The sequence below is a fragment of the Homo sapiens genome, chromosome 17, assembly GCF_000001405.40.
Source record: "Homo sapiens chromosome 17, GRCh38.p14 Primary Assembly".
Classification (NCBI taxonomy): Eukaryota; Metazoa; Chordata; class Mammalia; order Primates; family Hominidae; genus Homo; species Homo sapiens.
Window position 1 is genome coordinate 20,506,469 of NC_000017.11, and position 21,493 is coordinate 20,527,961.

Here is a 21,493-nt window from a genome sequence, read left to right on the forward strand (position 1 = left end):
TCTGGGATCAGAGGTAAGAGCAGAATGGATGCACATGCCTTCAGAGCCAAACCTGGGAGAGGGAACCCGACACTCCCCACCTGAAGGGGTGGCCTGCCCCTCCACACCTGTGGGTGTTTCTCGTGGGGTGGGATGAGAGACTGAGAAAAGAAAGAGACACAGAGACAAAGTACAGAGAAAGAAAAATGGGCCCAGGGGACTGGCGCTCAGCATACAGAGGACCCACGCTGGCCCCAGTCTCCGAGTTCCCTCAGTATTTATTGATCATTATCTCTACCATCTCTACCATCTCCCAGAGGGGGATGTGGCAGGACAATAGGGTAATAGTGGGGAGAGGGCCAGCAGGAAAATGTGAACAAATGTCTCTGTGTCATAAACAATGTTAAGGAAAAGGTGCTGTGCTTTGATGTGCACATACATAAACATCTCGGTGCATTAAAAAGCAGTGTTACCGCCAGCATGTCTCACCTCCAGCCCTAAGGCGGTTTTCTCCTATCTCAGTAGATGGAATATACAATCGGGTTTTACACCGAGACATTCCATTGCTCAGGGATGAGCAGGAGACAGACGCCTTCCTCTTATCTCAACTGCAAAGAGGCCTTCCTCTTTTACTAATCCTCCTCAGCACAGACCCTTTACGGGTGTCGGGCTGGGGGACGGTCAGGTCTTTTCCCTTCCCATGAGGCCATATTTCAGACTATCACATGGGGAGAAACCTGGCTTTCCTAGGCAGAGGTCCCTGCGGCCTTCCTTCCGCAGTGTTTTGTGTCCCTGGGTACTTGAGATTAGGGAGTGGTGATGACTTTTAACAAGCTAGCTGCCTTCAAGCATTTGTTTAACAAAGCACATCCTGCATAGCCCTAAATCCATTAAACCTTGAGTCGACACAGGGCATGTTTCTGCGAGCACAGGGTTGGGGTAGGGTTACAGATTAACAGCATCTCAAGGCAGAAGAATTTTTCTTAGTACAGAACAAAATGGAGTCTCTCATGTCTACTTCTTTCTATATAGACACAGTCCGTATAGAAAGAGACACTGATCTCTCTCTTCCCCACACCCACCCCCACCCCAAAGAGGGACAAAGGGGACCCCGGAATCTTGGACAAAAACCTCAGCGTTCAGGTGTCAGGGTGGGCCTGGAGTTCCAGTCCAACCACAGACCCATCACCCTCAGAACTGAAAATGGTCTTCAAGGTCACCAAAGGCTATCAATACCCCAACCGGAGAGGGCGAAAGCCTTATCCAGGTTAAGCAGCACAAAAGTGAGAGAGCACAGACCGGAGCCAGCTCCAACTCCCAAGCCAGGATTCACACCGACTCTCACAGTGGAGTCTCCGAGAACTCTTCACTCTCTGCCCCCACCGTGTGTGCGTGCACACACACCCCTTTCTCATTGGCTCACTGCCCCCCGCCAAGTTCCCCATTCCAGGAGGTGTCAGGGTGGGATTATACACAAGCCCAGCACTGCAGACCTGAGGATCTGCGTGGGCTGAGAAGCTGCAGGAAGTTGCTGACCAACGCGCCAAACTGCTCAGCCAACTCCATAGATCACGCAGCTGCTGTGTGCACAGCTCTCGGGGGCTGGGGGTGAAGAGGGAAATGATGACGTAGTCTCTGACCTTAGAAGAACTTATCATTTGACCCTGGAGGGAAAACTAACGCTGGAAAATGCAGAACCTGGCTAGAAACCCTAGGGTGCTGGGCTTGACTGCCACGCCCACACCACCGGAGGCAGCTGGGGTAAGCATTACCCCGCTGAGCCTCAGCAGTAGAGGAGGGGGCTGCCCTCCTGGCCTTGATCCCTGAAAGGGTCCCAGCAGAGGGAGGCACCAGCAGGGCCTCAGAGGATCTGAGTTGACAGAAGAGGAGGAGGCGTTTCCTCTGCATCAGTGATGCACACTTGCCCCAAGGTGGCCAAGAGCCAGGACCTCTAAGCCTGGTGAGCATAGAGAAGCCCAGTGGGCATCCTCCAGGCAGAGGATTCCTCCCCGCACCCTGCCTCCTTCCTCCCTCCTTCGTCCTGCCCATGTCAAGCATGAGGCGGAGATCATAGCATACCTGAGGAGGCCGGGAATCACCATTGGCCAATGCCACGCCTTGGCTTGCAGTGATTCTCCAACCAGACAGATCATCAGAGTCCCCAAGAAGATTCGCAGCCCTGCTCCAACTCCTGCATCAGCACCACTCAGGACAAGCCTGCTGGTGGGGCTGTTTTACAAGCTCCCCAGCCAACTCAGACTGGGAAGGCAGGAGGCAGCTTAGGGGGCTGAGGAGGGGGGCAGAGAAGCTGAGGGGAGAGAGGGGGCTGCTGCAGGGCCCCCAGCCCTGGGTGGACAAGCCAGAGCCACAGGCTTCAGGGCAGGAGGAAGGAAAAGTAGAGCCCCACTGAGCCAGGACAGAGCAGCCTGGAATCGGGGCAAGCAGGGGCAAAACCTTGGGCAGGATATTCAGCCTCTCTGAGCCTCAGTTTCCTTGTCTGGGAAATGGGAATAACAGCCCTGCGTCACAGGCATATTAGGGGATTTGAGGCCAAATAAATAAAGCACCTGGCAAAGGCTGGTGGCTAGCGTTATGTTTATGAGCAGGTGTTTATAAAGCACCTACTGTGTGCCTGACACTGTGCTGGGCACTCAGACTCAAAGAACAAGACAGAGAAGCCCTGGAGACATAGTCTTCTGGGGGAGAAGGTGGTAAAGACAATCCCAATACACTAAAGTCAGGCCACGATGGGGTGCTGGGGCCCTGCAGAGAAACAGAGGGAGCAGGGTTCCTGGGGGAGAACGAATGTCCAGGCCCAGGCTCTGCCCCTGTGACGGCTCCAGGGATCTGGGGAAATCTGTGAGTGCCAGGCCCACCTTCGGGGGTCCTCTCCCCTCCTGCAAGTTTGACGCCCCCCTTCTGAAGGTGGGGCTGTCATAGCCCTTCACAATCCAACCACAGATCTGCAGCTTCTGCCTTGATGATGGGGTGAAACATTCTGTGCAGTGGGCAGGGTGGCTGTGGACGAACTGTGAGTCCTTCCATGAGTCCCATAGCTGGGTCCCCAGTCCAGCCCAGGCACATGTCCTCAGCAGCCTGGACCCACTTGGGGTGCCTGTTCTGCACAAACAAGGGGCCCGGACTCCTGTATGAGTCTCAGGAAACCCCCAAGAGGGGCTCCCATTGCCCCCACCCCAGGAGTGTGAGCGGGAAGCTGGTGCCTCCAGGGAAGGCTGCAGACCCCAGGGGTTGTGGGAGAAAGAGTGGGCCTCTCTCAGGGATGTTTCTTCAAATGGTCACTACAGCTCAGGGTGAGGACGGGTCTCTGTCAAGCTCAGTTATCCCCTCGGCTCTGTGCATGTGGGGAGACCTGCCTGGCTCTGCTCCCTCTGTTCCCCTCATCTCCCCAAAACCTTGGTTGCCACAATAGACCCACACTGCATAAGGGCTGAGGGACTGTTGTCAGTCCCTCAGGTCCCCTTGGGGCAGGCACTGTCTCTTGGGGTCAGGACCGGTGTCTCCTCCTTTCCCTGGACTCAGTGCAAACCAGACGCAGAGCGATGTCATGCCATGGATGAGTGTCCCCCACCACATCCGTCTCCGTAGAAGACATGCTGCCAGGTCAACCCCTGCAAGGGGGGTCCGGAGGCAGCTACCACTGGCATGGGTCTGGCCTGAGAGTCTTATATGTGTGTCCATCACACGAGACCAGGTGTGGCAGCTCTACAGGGTAACCACATATCCGCAGCTTCTGCCTTGAGGACATTCTGTGCAGTGGGCAGGGAGTGTGTGGACGAACTGTGAGTCCCTCCTTGAGTCCCATAGCTGGGTCCCCAATCCAGCCCAGGCACATGTCCCCAGCATCCTGGGCCCACTTGGGGTCCTTGGACAAAGTCACTCAAGTCTCCCCACCAGCCCCTGGCAACCACTGCCTCTACTGGCTCAGCTCTCTGGGCACACCGGGGGGCTCCCCCATTCTGGCCTCCTGAGCCTCCCACCCACTCACTTTGTGGAGAAGGGCTTCTTCCCCAGCAGAGGGGCACAGTCTGGGGCTGTCTCTGGTCCTTCCCACACTCTGACCCCTCCTCACTCACGCCATCAGTAATTGTGGACCCCAGGCTCTACAGGAGGGAGAGATAGCCCTGCCTGGAGCCTGAGGTGGGGGAGGAGCTGGGGCTTGGCTCCTCTTCCCAGCACGGAAGCGGGGCCCACTCCCCTCCCGTGCCCGTCTCCACTACTGACCCCTCAGGCTGTGGGACAAGGGCTGAGTCACTGCTCCTTGGAGCCTCAGTGTCCCCATCCACACAACAAGGCGCCTTCCCCTAGACCCTCCCTGCTTCCGGGGACTATTCAGACAAATGAAGTCACCCTCCAGAATGAGCCATCTGCAGCCCAGGGCTGTTCTTCTGGTTGTGGCGGGGTGTATGGTGGGGGCCTGGTGCAAACAGTGCCTCCCTCCTGCCCTCCATGGCCCCACATTTGCTGCCAGAGAGCAGGGAGACGTCAGCCTCCAACGGAGCAGAGCTTGCCCTTGCTTTGAGTCGTGCAGATGCCGCTGCAGGTGCAAGTCCCCGACTCCAGGCAGCCATCTACCCTGCAGAGAGAAACACTCTCCCGGGATGTCATAGCTCCAAGGTCCAGGGAGGGCTTGTGACCAGCCCAAAGTCACCCATACCCCAGTGGTCAGTACCCACCCCCATCCCTGGCCTCTGCCAGTCCCAAACCCCCACCAACCCAGGCTCAGAGGGCTCTGGTCACTCCCATTCTCCTCGGACCTGGGCCCCACCCCCAGCCTCCAGGCACCAGGAGAGAGAGGGTGTTTGGGGGCCTTGGTCTGATTCCGCAGCAGCAGAGACACCACAGGTCCAGCAGTGAGGACGTGGAGGCACCCTCCTCCCACTAACCCCCTGCTTGAAGAAAACCAGGAAAGCAGGCCAACCCACCTGGCAGTTTCCAGATTTACTACAAGGAAGATTTCCAGGTGTCAGGCTCACCTCCCACAGACTGCTCCCCACAGCCACGTTTGCTGCCACCAGCAAGAGCTGGCGTTGGTCAGCTCATAGAGGGTGCCGGGAGTGGCTGGAGCAGGACTGTTCCTTCTCATTTTCCTAGGAGGCAGTTTCTACCCTCCCTCACACCACCCCTGTCCCTAGTGGGGAACCAAAGAGGATCCAGACCGCCAGGGAGAGTGGCACTGCTCCCTGGGCACAGCCACCCCATCTGCAGTGCCCCCCACTCTGCCCTGTCCGCATCCTGAGCAACAGCTGACCATGTGAGGAAACATCCTTGAGAGAGGCCCCACCCTTTCTCCCATACCTGCCTGGGGTCCGCAGCCTTCCCTGAAAACACCACCCTCCCGCTCACATTCCCAGGGCAGAGGCAATGGGAGCCCCTCTTGGGGATTTCCTGAGACTCACACAGGAGTCGGGGCCCCAATCACCCAGACTGCCTCCCCCACCCACCCTCCCTTTGTGCTTATCCCAGCCCTTGCCCACCTCCTGCCCCATCTAGGGGGAGGGCACAGCCCACAGGACAGGAAGGAGCAACTGATTGAGTGAGTCATCTCTGAGGATTCGGGCTCCCACACCTGAGATCTTCCCATCCATTTACGGATGGAAAAGCAAGGCTCAGTCAGGGGAAGTGACTGCCTAACTTCCCGAGGTCACAGAGTTACTCACAGGGCAAGCAGTGGCGACCTAGGACCACACCTGATACACCGCCTCCACCCCGGGTCTAGCGCAGCCTGGACCACCCCCTGAAAATCTCCAGCCCTTGGGAGATGCGAGCACCCCCCTCCAAACTCTCCCCAGACTTACTCTTTATGCTGGTCTAAGCTGACCTCTGACCTGCCAGTCAACAACGGGGTCTCCACGCACCATCTCCCCCCACCCTCACTCCTTCCCATTTCACCCTTTTGTCCCCAGTGCCCACTTCAGCGGCCAGAACAAGGACACATTTCATAGCTGAGTCAACGAGCTTTATTGTCATCACGCAGGGAAGCATGGCGAAGGGACTGAAGCAGGGGGCTGAGGGTGGAGAGGCCGGAGACCGCGGGGCAGATGGGACCGCTGCCTCCCTGCCTCCTGGGGGGCCGGCCGGGAAAGCTGAGTCCTCAGCGGGTGGTCTGGCGGACCTGCTCGCGGGAGGAGATGACCTTACCATCCTGGACCTCTTCCACAATGGTAGGCACCTGACAGGTGGTCACCGCTGCAGGAGAAGCAGGCAATTTAAAGTGGGTAGGGGCCAGGAGGCCCTCGCTTGCCCCCTAGCCCTCATGGACAGGAGCCGGCTCTCTCCCTCGTCCTCCCCCAGGTGCTGTGAGTGCCTCCACTGGCACCTCAACATCACACTGCACACACATCCCTCCTGTCCCTGCCACCGCCTCCCTTCCATCCCATCCCTCTGCCGGTGGCCCTGTGTGAGTCTTGCCTCCGCAGATGGGTTATTTGATTCTGACCCAGTGTGTCCTGCCAGGGAGGAGCCATGTAGACTCCATGAAATCCATCTCCATTTCTCTGCAGTCTCCAGGGCATAGATTTGCTCCCATCTCCCCCATCAGACTGGGATCGCCAAGACAAAAACCAGGCCCCTATCTCCTCCATTAGACTAGGAACCCTGGGGCTAGCATCATATCTTCTCCATCAGACTGGAATTTGGAGGACAAGGAGCATGTCCCTATTTCCCATCAGGCTAGAGTCCCCAGAGACAGGACTGCTTTCGCTCATCCAAAAGCTGTCAAGAGCATAGATCATGAGACCATGTTCCTATCTTCCCATCAGATGACAATCTCCAGAGGTGGGACCTGTCTCCTCCATCAGACTAGGATCTCCAAGGTAAGGACCAGTTCCCTGGCCCACCCCATCAGACCAGACAGCATCTCTCTCATTTGATCTTTTCCTGAGTATCAATCCTCAGTGCTAACGGGTCACTTCTCCCACCCCTGCTGAGGGACAGCCATCAACTCCTAGAACTCCTGGGGACCCAGCTCCAGCAACGTGCAGGTGGGCTGCCTGTCCCATGCACCCAATCCCCAAGGCCTCAGCCACCAAGATGCTTATGTTCTTTCTTGTACTGAGTCAGGCTGAAAGAAAAAAAAAAACAGAGAGGAAATTAGATGTGAGTCTGAGAGCCCCAACCCTGCCAAGAGGCCCCCAGCCCTGACCCCAGGCTCCCCCACTCACTGGGCATCCTCGCCCTCCAGCAGGCGGTGGTAGGTGGTGATCTCCAGCTCCAGCCGCATCTTCATGTCCAGGAGGATCTTGTACTCCTGGTTCTGCTGCTCCATCTCGCAGAGAAGCTGGGCCAGCCGCTCCTCCGCACTGCCGATCAGCCCCTGGATCTGGGACAGCTGCATGCAGTAGCGGTTCTCTGTCTCCGCCAGGTTGCCCTCCAGGGATGCTTTCTGCAGGAGGGCAGGAAGACCAGGGGTCAGTGAGGGTTGTCAGTGTCCTCTTCTGGGCCCATCCCCATGCACAGGACTGTTCCTACCATGATGAGCTGGGACTGCAGCTCGATCTCCAAGGCCTGCATGGTGCACCGGAGCTCCGAAATCTCGCTCTTGCCGCTCTGGACCAGCTCACTGTTGGTAGCCACCTCGCGGTTCAGCTCCTCTGTCTGCAGACAGAACACAGGACAGGGTGGTGTGAGCCTGGATCCCTCTCCTCAGTCAGGCCTCCTCCCAAATCTAACTGTGGACAGAGTGATGCCTTCTCACCAGCTTCCCACGTCCCAAAGCCCAGAAACATGCCATTTGAAATGTTAACTTTTTATGGTTAATCCCTGCGTGTGGGAGGCACAGACCGGAAACTTGAGAACCAGCCAGAACATGTAGCCTGGCTCTTGGTGCTAGTTTCTGACTTCTTGAGAGAGAGGTGGGGACTCCCAAGGTCTTTACCCTCTGCCTTTATTCTGTGGGGGCTCCCTAGCTCCCCACCCACCCCCCAGATCCCAGCTTGAGCTCAGCTCCAGGTCTGTTGATGCAGTGGGTGACCCTGTGGTCCATGCAGCTTGCTGAGGAGGGAGCATCTCCAAGACACCTGGCCGTGGGCTTACTGTCAGTGCTAAGGCCCCTGAGCCCCAGCCCCGAAGAGAGACCTCTGGCCTGCAGCAGCCCCCACCTTGCTGAAGAACCAATCCTCGGCATCCTTGCGGTTCTTCTTTGCCATCTTCTCATACTGCTCACGTATCTCGTTCAGGATGAGGCTCAGGTCCACACCTGGGGCAGCGCCCATCTCCACATTGATCTCACCGCCCACCTGGCCTCGCGGGGCGTTCATCTCCTATGGAAAAAGGGGATGTGGATGTGCGCATCTGGACCCATCCTGATCTCTCACTCCCAAGCCTTCCCCCACGAGGTGACCCCACTCCCCACAAGGACCCCTCCTTTGTTCTTCCTCTGCTCTATCTGACCCTCTAAATGATTTTTATTCATCTGCTCAGTATTGCCTCCACCATCAGACTCTATCTCCCCCATTAGACCAAGGGCTCTCCAAAATAAAATCTAATTATTAAGCCTATGCCCCAAAAATTTCCCCTCTAATTTCCAAGCTTCTGTGTAGATGTTCAGCTTTGAGAGTTTGAAATGGGACAAGAAGGAGACTTCCTTACTTATCCCCTGCCCTCGTGAGGGAGGCCAGGGCAGGTAGAGGGAGCCTCTGCGGGCCCCTGGGAGGTTCCTTGGGTACAGAGAAGCAGTGTGGTACAAAGAGGAGTCTGCCCTGCACGCTGGACCCCAAGGATCAGGGCTCCGCAGACAGGGAAGCCCTCTAAGGTGACTAATCCCAGTGCGCCTGCTGTGCTCTCTCCCACGGCCTCAGCCATGGCCCAGCCCCAGGGCTCTGCCACCCACTCCTCAGCATCTTTGACCTTCTGCCCCAGCCACCTCACCTCGTGGTTCTTCTTCAGGTAGGCCAGCTCCTCCTTGAGGTTCTCAATGTGCATCTCCGGGTCGGCTCTGGCCAGGGTCAGCTCATCCAGCACCCTTCACGGGCCATTGATGTCGGCCTCCACACTCAGGCACAGGGCCTGCTCTGTCTCAAACCTGCCATGGGAATCAGGAACTTCAGCCCAGGCTGCTTGGAATTGCAGGTCCAGGTCCTGGCTGCTCACCTGCCTTCATTTTGCCAGGACTCTAAGGGGTTGGAAGGGCTGATGAGAGGGTCGAGTGGAAACGAATTCCAGCCCCGGGGCCTTGGGACCATCACAGGGCCAGATCCTACGCCCACCAGCTTCCTTACTTCTCTCTGCCTCCTGCCTCCCCTCCCTCTCTTCTATTCCCTGCCTAAGCCCAGCAACCTTCAGAACTGGCTGCCTTCACTGCATCCTGGACTAAGTAGTGGGGCTCCTAGGACTGCCCCACCCTGAGCTCCTGGGCCTTGCCACAAGCAACCAAGGAGTCCTGGGGTCAGGAGGGGTACCCTGAGATCCTCCCCCAGCTGACCCAGGCTGCCCAAGCCCACAGCTAGGACTCACTTGGTGTGGAAGTCAGCAGCAGCCAGATGGGCATTGTCATTCTGTAGCAGGATGTTGGCATTGTCCACGGTGGCTGTGAGGATCAGCGGAGATGGGAGAGTAGTCAGGTCATCGGATGGGGGTGGCTGAGCCCACACCAGAGTTCTGAACAGATCTTCCTGCCTGGGGTCCTCTCTTCCCGCCCAGCCCCTCCCTTGCCCCGTGCTGTATTATTGGCAGAGGAGGGGCAAGCAGGAGTCTGAAGGGCTCAAAGGTGCCTCTTCTTCCCCCGCTACTCAGTACCCCACCAGACCCCCATGCCAGGCTCAGCCTTAAAGGAGAAGAGACAGCTGGCTGGGAGTATGAGGCAACCAGAAAAGAAAGGGAAAATGTCCCCAGGGCAGAAACTGTCCCAGAATTCTAGAACAAGGGAGGGGATGTGGGCAACCCCCTCGTTTTACAGTCAGCTAGAGGGTGCCCCTGACAGGCTCCCCCAAAAGGAGGCTAAAGGAGCCCTCACCAAAGAGTGGTCCCAAATCAGAAGTCAGGACCCTTCCTAATCCCTAACCCTGGGCTCCAGCCAGCAGCCCCGCCCCCTGCGGTTTGCTGAGCCTGTCTTAAGGGACAGCAGGAGGAAAGGAGAAGCCAGAAAAATCCCCAAATAAGGCACATCAGAGGCCTTCCCCACCCTGAGGTCCCACCCCCTCCTTTCTGCCTCCCACCCGCAGCAGGTGCTATCGGGAGCTCACTCAGACACCCCCACTCCACACCTCCCAAAACCCCTTCCTGCTGACCCCTGCTCCAAAGGAGCAAGACACCACGCATCCAGTGGCCCATGGGCCCAGCCCTCCATCTGCATCCTCCTGCCTCATCCTACAACCTCTCCAGGTGGAGGAGCTCCACGAGGGAGAAACTGAGTCTCCAAGGGGCTCCACGAGGCCTGTTTGTTCCTGACTCAGCCTACTGCCCCCAGAAAAGGGGGATGTGGGCCACACAGGGGCCCCAAGGCAGGTTCCCAGAAGCTAAGCCACAGCCAAACCACACTTGGCTCCCTGAGACCCTATGGCTGGACTCCAGGCCTTTGGCCAGGGCAGGAGTTGGGGGGAAAAAGTCATGCCCCCCGGAGACCCCTCCCACCAGCAGGCCCTACCTTGTTCTGCAGCTCCTCGATTATCCTGTAGTACTGGCTGTAGTCACGGGCGGGCCCCGGGGCCTGCCTCTGGTACCAGTCACGGATCTTCACCTCCAGCTCAGTGTCGGCCTCCTCCAGGGCACGCACCTTGTCCAGGTAGGAGGCCAGGCGGTCATTGAGGTTCTGCATGGTGGCCTTCTCACCTCCGACCAGCAGCCCATCAACGCCCCCAAAGCTGCTGCCATAGCCACCGCCAGAGCCAAAGCTGTAGCAGCTGGAGTAGCTGCTACCCCCGAGGGCGCTGCCCAGGCCACCAGCAGATCCCGGCCTGCAGGAGCCGGCACCCAGGCCGCCAGACAGCTGGCAGGAGGTGCGGTACGAGCCGCCCCCCAGGCCAGAGGAGCCCTTGATGGAGCTGGAGGAGGTGAACTGGCGGATGGAGGTGGTCATGGTGGCGGCGGCAGGAGGCAGGCACACAGGAGAAGGGCTGGAAAGAAGAGGGGCCCCAAGTAGTGTAGGGCTGCCGGGGTTCACAGGCTTCCTTTATAGGCCACCAAGTGGGCGTAGCGATTACAACAGGCTCCTCTGTTTCCGTTCCCCTGGGCTTTCATCACCACGGGCCACCTGCCAGCTCCCAGGTGGCTGGGGACCCCCTCCCCACCCATCATCAGGAATTTGCCTCATTTCTCCAAATCCTCGTGCTGGGTGCCACGCGTGTGCGTGCCACTGCTCTGAGGCCCGTCACCTGTGATTTGGGCGGGCCCTCCAGCTATGCTTTCCCATGACCTAATATGGGAGAAGAGGAGAATACAGGACTTCACCGTCCCCAGGCCCTCCCAGGCAGCCACCACCCCAGCCCGGCCCACCTCAACCCTGTCTGGTGGGGAAATGGGTTGCAATGTCAGGTGACCACCCCCTGAAGTTGCTGTCTTTCACCCCACACTGCTCCACCCAAGGTGCTGGCCCGGGGCTGGGTGCTGAAGAGAAAGAAGGGACCGAGAGCCTATCCTGCCTTGGAAACTGAGCCCAAACCCACCAGGCCCACCTCACAGCATAGAAATGCCATCAAGCCTCGGAGACCAACCCACATCGCAGATAAAGAAATTGGGGCTCCAGAGGGGTGCAGTGTCCACACTGGCCCCTTCTGCAGAGTCTGACACCCAGGAATGCACTCTAGGGGCTACAGTTCCATCCAGTCAGCTTCTGACCCTGCCCCATCCCTAGAAGCCCTTGCTAACCCAGTCTCCTCGTGTAAACCTTTCCCCAGGTTTACACTCCAGGCTGGGGTGGGCAAACAGGGGCTCAGCTATAGGATGGGGGAAAGGTGGGCCGTGCTAAGAGAGGATCTAAACCAACTGAGAGGGGGATGCCCCCTTCCACTCCTCTCACCCTTCTGTACCCCAAGAGACCTCAGGGTCAGGGGAGGGGCATTTCTCTCAGGTCTCAGCCCACAGGAAACCTAAAGGACATTGCCCAAGAAGAGGCTCTTACAGAGACCCCAGCCAGCCAGCCCCCTCCCCACTCCAGGCTCCCCAAGATGTGGCTCCTTGGGCGGGCCAAGTGCCCCACTCCACAGCCCCACCCTGCCCTGCCCACCACCCCAAGCCCCGCCCTGGGTCCCAGGGTCCCGCCAGGCCCGCTGGGTGGAAGGTGGTCATGTTTCAGACTGCCAATGGCTTCCACTTCCCAGACAGGCCCAGGTAGCCCCACCAGCAGCGGAGAGAGATTCCTCAATAGCCCAGTGGCTGCCAAGCCACCAAAGCAAACAGGACACCCCCCATGCGTACACGCACAGCGGCCACCCTGCCCCACACACACCCCGAGCTGGGCAGAGCCGGTCTGCTTTCCTGGGCTAGCTGCCTCGCTCTCACCCCCTCACTCATCAGTGCCCTGGACCACTCCTTCAGAAGCCCCTCCCCACCGAGCCCCTCTCCTTCTGCTCTTGAACCCACCCTGGGCTGAGGCAGGGAGTGCTCCCCAACAGGTGTGGTCCTTGGAAAGTCTGTGTGGCCCTCCCAGGGACCAGCCACAGGTGACAGGGACTCAGGGGCTGATTCTTAGAAACTTTTCCCAATACAAGGGGCTGTCCCTTCCCTCCACCCTTAATCCTTCCTCCTCCTCCCCTCTGGTCTTTCCAGGAGCCCCAGGCCTGGATGGAGTGGGCAGAACAGATTGGCAGGTGACAAGCCAATACCCAAACACTCAATAAACTCTCCACCTATCCCAGTCCCTCAGCCCACACTGCCCCAAACCAATGAACAGACCAGATCACACGAGGCATTGAACTTGGAGCAAAGCTTTAATAGCAGGCACTGGACAAACCCAGGAGGCCTCCTCAGTGAGGGGCTGCAGAAAGTAGATACAGAAAGACAACAGGTCATGGACCAGTGCCCAGACGGACACTCGGGGCGTGGCAGTAGCATGCTGGGAGCTGGAGCTGATGGCTGTGCCGTGACCCTCGAGGTGGGGCTGTCACAGGCAGAAAGGGGCCTCAGTGGGTGGAGAGATGGACCTGCTTACAGAAGACCACCTCTCCAACCTGGACTTCCTCCACGATGGCACACCTGGTGGCTGGTCACTGTGGCTGCAGGCGATGGAGGAGGGAGGCACAGGGAACATCAGGCAGGAGCTCTTCCCCCCACCTGCCCCTGAGTCTGTGGTCCCCCCAGTCTCCCACACAGAAGGGTCCTCAGCCTCTCCCCCGCCTTGGGGTCCACACAGCAGGACAGGGCAGCTTCTTACCTTCCCGGGTGGGCTGCGAGGCCAGGGACAAGGAGTACTGAGTGGCCAGCCTGCAGGGAGAGGAGCACCCATCGACCCAGGGATGCCAGCCAGCCCAGGCCCCTGCAAGCACTGCTGGGGAGAAGCAGGCCCTGTCAGAGGAGGTTCCCCTAAATTGGTGAAAAATCACAGTTGGGAATGCACAGAAATTAGCACAGGCCCAAGAATGAAAGGGCAGGGGTTCAGTGCAGCAGGAAGAAGAAAAAGAAACAGCACAGCAGTAGGCCTGGAGGCACTCACCAGGAATTTACAAGGAGAAGCTGAGCAAGTGGTTTTTCCATGTCCCAGAGGACCCAACCAATAGACCCAATTAAAGCAGGAGAGACTGTCGTTAGACTATAGATGGACTTCACCATTTTCGGGGAGCAAAAAGCTGCAACGTGTGACTAAGCATGGAGACTCCAGGACACACTCAGCTGAAGGCCTGATCACCCTTCCCAACTGCAAACCCGACCACCACCCACCATGCTCTTCACCCTGTGGCTGATGGACTCACACAGTCATCGGAACCAGAAACCCAGGGCCATCAATGCCCACTCCTTCATATGTGTTCACCCAACGCTTACTGAGTCCTGACCGTGAGCCACGCTTACCCTGAGATCCAGGCATCCAGTCCTGCTGTTTTGAGCTATAACCTCTCTTCTGCATGCACCACCTTCCTTCCCCTGCCCCCCCACCCAGCCTCCACCCCGCAAGACTTCTCTGGCCAGACTCCCTGCTCTAGCCCCCTGACGCGTCTCTCTGGCCCCACCCTGACCCCTCTGATCCATTTCTCCCTCTGTAGCCAGAGTGAATGTTCTAAAATATCTTGATGTTCATTCCCCTCTTCTGCTCCAAATCCCTCCATGGCTCCCCATTGCCTACGTGATCTAGTCCAGACGCTTTAACTTGGCAGTCAAGGCTCCTCAGTCAGACTCCAGCCTGCATCGTCAGTTTCACCTCCTGCAAACCCCACAGGTTCCCACATTCACACCTCCTGAACTTTGCTGGTGCTCAGACACCAACTTCTCCCTGGGTGAAGTGGGCCCCCAGCCCGCCCCAGCAGGTACCTGGGTGCACACTCACTGGGCGTCCTCAACCTCTAGCAAGCGGCTGTAGGTGGCGATCTCCTGCTCCAGCTGCGTCTTCACGTCCAGAAGGACCTGGTGCTCGTGGTCCTGGTGCTCTGCATCACAGCAGAGCTCGCACAGCTGCTGTTCCATGCTTCTGATGAGCCCCTGCAGCTGGGCCAGCTGGGTCCTGTAACACACCTCCGTCTCCACCAGGCTGCCCTCCAGCAATGCTTTCTGTGGGCCAAGAGATAGGTGGTGCGATGAGATGGACGTGGGACCCTTCCCCATGGCAGAGCACTAGAGAGGAGCCCCTCCTGTATGGAGCTGTGGGTGCTGCCGGCACAGTTGGGTGGTAGTGCACCCAGCCACTGAGTGTGAAGGGACAGGCTGGGTGGGGACTCTGGTTCTCCAAGCAGGGGTCTATAAGGCTGCGCTCACCCTGGGGTGACAGGTACAGGGTGGGGAGGGGACAGAGGCCCTACCTTGCTGAGCTGGGACGGCTCAGGTTCTGCACAGAGATGTAGAGCTCCATATCTCCATCCTGCCGCTCTGCAGGGCCTCTGTGTTGGTGGCCAGCTCGCAGTTCAGCCCCTCTCTCTGGAAGGCAGAGTGGGCCACAGGGGTTTATGGAGACTTTCAGAAGTGGGGCACAGGAAAGGGGCTGTTCCTGAGCCCTCACCTCCCAGAACCATCCCCTAAACCCTCCCTGGCCTCTATGGGGCCCCAAAAGCACCTGCACACAAAGACTCTCTGCACCCACATTGGACCTTGGAGGAATTCAGCCTGCTCTGCGGTCGTTTGCATTTCTTACTCCTACCGAACTACAGCACCTCAAAGACAGGCACTGGGTGTTATTCTTTTGCACCTGTTGCTGTCCCTAGGACAGCGGACACACTCAGCCTGTGCTTGCCAAGGGTATGTGTATGTACTCAAATACACACATCCTGTAAACAGCTGTGGTGGAAACCCAAGACCAGACTTGCAGAGAACTGGATCTATTTTGCAGGCCACAGTGAAGGGCTGTGTGAGCTTGAGTCCTCTCTGAGCCTCACATTTTACATTGAAGACATGAAGGGCTGGTCCGACTGGTTTCCAAAAGTCCTTCCAACTGGGACAGCCTGTGAATCTGCCGGTGTTCCAACTGCACCAGCACACGGCGTATGTGCCCACACGTGTGCACACCTGCTTACACACGGCCACCCACCAAGCTGAAGAACCAGCCCTGGGCATCCTTGCAGCTCTTCTCCACCAGTTTCTTGTCCTGGTCACGCATCTCATTCAGGATGCAGCTCAGGTTCACTCCAGGCACAGTGTCCATCTTCACACTGACATCCTTGTCCACCTGACCTCAAAGGGCGTTCATTTCCTGGGCAGAGAGGACAGCAGGAACTCACCCAAGGCCATCCTGGGGAAAGACCCTGGGGCCTGCCTTCTCTCCCTCGGAGAGACAGGTACGGATGACAGACAGACAGACAGACAGACACAGATAGGCCAACAGCTCCTCACCCTGAAGGTGGAGATGGATGTTGTCATTACTCAAACATACAGGGCTATGAATATCAGCAACCTCCCCCAACACACACTGTGACTCGGGACTGGACTTCACCCATCCCCAACAAGTGCTAAGCCCCAAGAGATGACAACCCCCCAGCACGGCAGAGAATGACCATGGGCGACCTCACTCACTGCCCTGGCCTCGCCCCTACCACCGCCTTGCCCCCACCACCAACCCCACAGCACAGGCATGCAAAAAGCAACCTTACGCTGCTGTCACCGCGCCAGGCCCCGTTAGCAAATGTTAATCTGCTAGAGGAAAGCAATTGTATAACCAGCCTCAACGCCAGGGGGAAACACCTTCCGGGTGTCCTGCTTCTCGGGGAGTAGGCTCCCCCAGCTTAGAGCAGCACAGAGCTCGGCTGAGAAGGAAGCCACAGGACAGGGCATGTAAGACCTCCTGACCGCCCCGGCAGGACCTTGGATCTCTATCCTTGGGTTGAGCCTTGGAGTCCCTGGGACCTAGAACCTTCTGGAAAGGAGGGGCAGGAGAGGGGCAGAGAGGTGGGGTGGATACGAGTCCGACAGACCTGAAGGAGGGTCCCTGTGCAGCCGTAGATATATCCCTTAACCTCTCTGAGCCTCAGTTTCTTCACAGGTCAAAAGAAAGAAACAGTATCTTTCTCCCAGTTTTTGTATCAGTTGAGTTAATGGCTGTGAGTCACTTGTAGTGCTGGGCAGAAGTTCCTTGTTTTAATGACTATCACTATTATAATTAGTTCTAATAATTAGTATTGTGTGTTCTTACACTGAGTTACTCATTAGTTAGTTAACTGCAGTGAGCTGAGCCTCAAGGGACAAATGAAGTCTATTTGAGAAGAGGGCTCCTCCAGGCCTCACCCAGGGTCCTCTGAGGGTCAGTGCTAGGCATCCATAAAGGATGGGAACTGGACTGGAAGCATGGCCCAGCCCAGGGAGGTTCTGGGCCCCAGCCTCGCTTGCTTCCAGGTGAATTTCTGCTGCATTCCCTGAGCTGAACTCACCTCCTCATGGTTCTTCTTCAGGTAGACCAGGTCCTCCTTGAGGTTCTCAGGCTGCATCTCCAGGTTGGCTCCAGGCAGGGTCAGCTTGTCCAGCCCCTGGGGCAGCTCCAGAGACCCAGCCTCACTTGGTGCAGAAGTCATCGGCAGCCAGGTGGGCATCATCCACCTGTAGCCAGTATGAAGCTGGAATTACCGATCACAGCCACCACGATCGGGGAGAGATGTGGGCTCCATGAGAAAATGCCCTTGGCAGCCTCCAGGAGACCCTCCAACATCCTTCTTGCAGCCTTTTTGGAAGTGAGCCAGGGTGGGGGTGATGAGAGTCCCCGTGGTCTTCTCTGACCCTCCTGGGAATTTCTGGGACCCAGCCAAGGCCCTCGGGGGTTAAAGGGTGATGGGGGTAGGATGCCCAGGCATGGGTAAAGACGGATGCCAGGAGAGAGACCCTTATGCAGCCATCTCCCACCATGGGGGTCATGGCCTAAGCTGCCTAGGCCTCACTCCCTCTTCCCCAACGAAATTCACCTCTAGGCTCAGCTGCCACCTCCTCCAGAAAGCCCTCTTGGATTACCTTTCTGTGTCTCTTTTCCGGGCCATACCTCCTGCCTTCTCCAGCCCGGGTGCACACTCACTGGGCGTCCTCAACCTCCAGCAAGCGGTGGTAGGTGTCAATTAGTTCAACTTCTATGGAAAAAGTAGGGAGGTATCTCAAAGAACTAAAAGTACAACTACCTTTCGACCCAGCAATCCCACTACTGGGTATCTACCCAAAGGGAAAGAAATCATTATATAAAAAGGCACTGCACTCCCATGTTTATCGCAGCATAACTTACAACAGCAAGGTCATGGAACCAAGGTAAGTATCCACCAACGGTTCATTAAATAAAGAAAATGTGGTGCATATACACCACAAAGTACTAGGCAGTCATAAAAAAGAACAAAATCATGTCCTTTGCAGCAACACAGATGCAGCTGAAGGTCATTATCCTACGTGAATTAACACAGAAACAGCCAAATATTGCATGTTCTCATGTATTAAGTGAGAACAATGGGTACACAGGGAGCCCAGGCTATTTATTTGTGCTCAAACAAAGAAACAGGTGGTGAGGCTGTGGGGGTTTAAAGGAATCAATGTATCAAGTGAGTGAGCTACAGCTGCGATGGTGTAGCATTTTCTTTGAAACATGTGGCTACTTGAGATAATGGGAGTGCTAGAAGCAAGGAGCCAGCAAGTCTAGCAGACATGCAAGCCCTGCCTCAGCTTCTCTCCCAACACTCAGCTTTTCTCCCAACAGGACAGAGTAAGCAGCAGTAAGTCTCAGTGCCTTAGGACCAGAGGGGCCCCAGTGCCCCTTGGTCAGGATGCTGAGCCCAGAGAGGGCAAGATCCTGACTTGAGGTCACAGAGCAGCAAGCCCTGGCAGAACTAGCATTCCTTTTGGAGAAATTCAGAGTTCATGGTCCCCAGGAGTCATTCATTTACTCATGCATTCATTCGGCAATTACATATTGAGCATCTACTATATGCCAGGCCCACTTCTAGCCCCAGCATACAGCAGTGGATAAGACAAACCAATTCCCACCTCAAGGAGCTGATGCTCTGGTCACAGAGACAGAAAACAAGTGAAGAAGATCACATTACATGATGCTAAAGGCTAGCAAATAAAATTACACCACATGGAATGTTGGAGTCACTCTGTCCAAATGGTGGCCACTAGCCCCATATGGCTATTTGAGTTTCAAGCAATTGGAGTAATTGAAAATTAAAGAGTTTAGCGGCTGGGCAATGGTGGCTTACGCCTGTAATCCCAGCACTTTGGGAGGCCAAGGCGGGCGGATCACGAGGTCAGGAGATCGAGACCATCCTGGCTAACATGGTGAAACCCGTCTCTACTAAAAATACAAAAAATTAGCTGGGCGTGGTGGCGGGCGCCTGTGGTCCCGGCTCCTCGGGAGGCTGAGGCGGGAGAATGGCACGAACCCAGGAGGTGGAGATTGCAGTGAGCTGAGATCACACCACTGCACTCCAGCCTGGGTGACAGAGCGAGACTCCCTCTCAAAAAAAAAAAAAAAAAAAGAAGTAAACTGGGTATGTGGCAATAGTTACTTTGGTCCACAGATTTTTGGTATCTTAACTAGTTTTGGATCTCTTCCACTAAAGGGATTGCCTGTTGAACGTTGTTAGGAATATAAGTACTGAAGGCAAACTGCCTGGGTTTGAATTTTGTTCTGTCCCTTGCACCCTGCCTGGGTTCAAATCCTAGCTCTGCTTATTAAGTTCTTTTAAGTGATGCTCTTTGAGCAAATGTCTTAGCTTCTGTTTTCCCAAGTAAATGGACACAATAGTTGCTACCTTGTGAAAGATTCATGTAATTGACCAGTGTTTACCAAGTAGCATCTGTGTTCAGTTTCAGTCATTGGTGATTCTGCAGTTGGACTGTGATGGGGTGGTGGGGTAGGGGTGGTGTGTGTGTGTAGCACTTAATTGCACGCAGAAAGGAAAAGATACTTTTGATGACCCAGAGGCAGCTTTTCTCTGCTTTTGTGTCAAAAGGGAGGAATGGAGTTTGGAGAGGGAAACTAATTCTGTTCAATACTAAGCTCTCTTCCTCAAAATCAGAGGTACATAGAATGTGTAATAACTTACAGAATTTCTAGACTTCAACAATCTGAATTTTTTAAAATTCATTTTTATTTTTTCAGGTTGAGACTGAGCTAAAGTTAATCTGTGGCGACATTCTGAATGTACTGGACAAACACCTTATTCCAGCAGCTAACACTGGCAAGTCCAAGGTTTTCTATTATGAAATGTAGGTTCTATACTAAAAATTAACAAGTGTACTTCAATAATTTTAAACATGCTCAGGAATAATTGGCTTTGTTTCTTTTTTTCTTAGCTATTTCCTATTATTTTCCTTATTAAATATAACGAAAAATCCCACAGAAATTAACTGAGGAGCCTCTAAATATCAACAAAATTATCACTTGATAGACTAGAATTAAACAAGCAAGTGGTTCCAAGAAATGGCACAAGTGTATTAATCATAAAATAAAATTTCTACATGAAACATTCAGCCAGCACTGTGAAATGTGTGGCCGTTTAGGGGAGGGGAATGAGATAGGTCCCATGAAAGCAAAAGAATATAAATAGGTAAAGCAAAAGCTAATGCATTTTTTATAATAGCCTGACCATCTTTTTATCCCAACATTGACTATCCTTCTAACATTAAACAATTATTTTTAAATAAAAGTTGGAAACCTACATAGAAGAAAGTCATGATTCTAAAAAGGCCAACTTTTAATCTTACATTTTCCTTTCTAGTATAGAACCTACATTTCCTAATAGAAAACCTTGGACTTGCCAGTGTCAGCTACTGGAATGAGGTGTTTGTCCAGTGCATCCAGCACCTTGCCACAGATTAACTGTAGCTCAGTCTCAACCTGAAAAAATAAAAATACATTAAAAAAAATCAGATTGTTGAAGTCTAGAAATTCTGTAAATTATTACACATTCTATCTACCTCTGATTTTGAAGAAGAGAGCTTAGTATTAAAGAGAATTGGTTTCCCTCTCCAAACTCCCTTCTTCCCTTTTGACACAAAAGCAGAGAAAAGCTGCCTCTCGGTTATAAAAAGTATCTTTTCCTTTCCGCATGCAATTAAGTGCTACACACACACACCACCCCCACCCCAGCACCCCCTCACAGTCCAACTGCAGAATCACCAACGACTGAAACTGAACACTGATGCTGCTTGGTAAACACTGGTCAATTACATGAATCTTTCACAAGGTAGCAACTATTGTGTCCATTTACTTGGGAAAGCAGAAGCTAAGACATTTGCTCAAAGGTCATCACCATAAAAGAACTTCATAAGCAGAGCTAGTATTTGAACCCAGGCAGGGTGCAAGGGACAGAACAAAATTCAAACCCAGGCAGTTTGCCTTCAGTATTTACATTCCTAACAACGTGCAACAGGCAATCCCTTTAGTGGAAGAGATCCAAAACTAGTTAAGATACCAAAAATCTATGGACCAAAGTAACTATTGCCACTCATCTCTATTCATTTATAATGCTGAAAAGGTACAGCACCTCTAAACGCACATACCCAGCTTGCTTCCTTTTTTTTTTCTTTTTCTTTCTTTTTTTTTTTTTTTTTTTTGAGACTGAGTCTCACTTTGTCCCTCAGTCTGGAGTGCAGTGGTGCGATCTCGGCTCACTGCAACCTCCGCCTCCCGGATTCAAGCTATTCTGGTGCCTCAGCCTGCGGAATAGCTGGGATTACAGGCATGCACCGCCATGCCTGGCTCATTTTGTATTTTCAGTAGAGACAGAGTTTCTCCACATTGGTCAAGCTGGTCTTAAACTCCCGACCTCTGGTGATCTGCTCGCCTCGGGCTCCCAAAGTGCTAAGACTATAGGCGTGAGCCACCGCGCCCAGCCGAACATGTTTCTTATGTTTTGCAATATAGACAGGCTGAGGATTTTTCAGATATTCAAGCTGTGATTTCCTTTTTTTTTTGACAGACTCTTGCTCCATCACCCAGACTGCTGTGTAGTGGAGC

At 54.9% G+C, this 21,493-nt stretch overlaps 2 pseudogenes, besides 8 other annotated features; both read right to left on the reverse strand.

Annotated features, from left to right (window-relative positions):
* Positions 90-673: an enhancer, noted in NCBI's record as "OCT4-NANOG-H3K27ac-H3K4me1 hESC enhancer chr17:20409871-20410454 (GRCh37/hg19 assembly coordinates)". NCBI's record gives its function as "activates a minimal SCP1, AML or CMV promoter by ChIP-STARR-seq in naive H9 embryonic stem cells {active_cell/tissue: H9 hESC(naive)}" and the evidence as "EXISTENCE:reporter gene assay evidence [ECO:0000049][PMID:30033119]".
* Positions 674-1,259: an enhancer, noted in NCBI's record as "OCT4-NANOG-H3K27ac-H3K4me1 hESC enhancer chr17:20410455-20411040 (GRCh37/hg19 assembly coordinates)". NCBI's record gives its function as "activates a minimal SCP1, AML or CMV promoter by ChIP-STARR-seq in naive and primed H9 embryonic stem cells {active_cell/tissue: H9 hESC(naive and primed)}" and the evidence as "EXISTENCE:reporter gene assay evidence [ECO:0000049][PMID:30033119]".
* On the reverse strand, positions 7,038-11,077 carry KRT17P6 (keratin 17 pseudogene 6; annotated as a pseudogene).
* Positions 8,243-8,461: a non allelic homologous recombination region, noted in NCBI's record as "sub-region 1', recombines with sub-region 1 within the distal SMS-REP block C recombination region". NCBI's record gives the evidence for it as "EXISTENCE:nucleotide sequencing assay evidence [ECO:0000219][PMID:14639526]" and "EXISTENCE:restriction fragment detection evidence [ECO:0001124][PMID:14639526]".
* Positions 8,243-16,088: a biological region, named in NCBI's record as "proximal SMS-REP block C recombination region". NCBI's record gives its function as "recombination_partner: LOC106020709".
* Positions 8,261-9,060: an enhancer, noted in NCBI's record as "H3K4me1 hESC enhancer chr17:20418042-20418841 (GRCh37/hg19 assembly coordinates)". NCBI's record gives its function as "activates a minimal SCP1, AML or CMV promoter by ChIP-STARR-seq in primed H9 embryonic stem cells {active_cell/tissue: H9 hESC(primed)}" and the evidence as "EXISTENCE:reporter gene assay evidence [ECO:0000049][PMID:30033119]".
* Positions 10,036-11,688: a non allelic homologous recombination region, noted in NCBI's record as "sub-region 2', recombines with sub-region 2 within the distal SMS-REP block C recombination region". NCBI's record gives the evidence for it as "EXISTENCE:nucleotide sequencing assay evidence [ECO:0000219][PMID:14639526]" and "EXISTENCE:restriction fragment detection evidence [ECO:0001124][PMID:14639526]".
* On the reverse strand, positions 12,605-15,760 carry KRT17P7 (keratin 17 pseudogene 7; annotated as a pseudogene).
* Positions 12,751-14,985: a non allelic homologous recombination region, noted in NCBI's record as "sub-region 3', recombines with sub-region 3 within the distal SMS-REP block C recombination region". NCBI's record gives the evidence for it as "EXISTENCE:nucleotide sequencing assay evidence [ECO:0000219][PMID:14639526]" and "EXISTENCE:restriction fragment detection evidence [ECO:0001124][PMID:14639526]".
* Positions 16,026-16,088: a non allelic homologous recombination region, noted in NCBI's record as "sub-region 4', recombines with sub-region 4 within the distal SMS-REP block C recombination region". NCBI's record gives the evidence for it as "EXISTENCE:nucleotide sequencing assay evidence [ECO:0000219][PMID:14639526]" and "EXISTENCE:restriction fragment detection evidence [ECO:0001124][PMID:14639526]".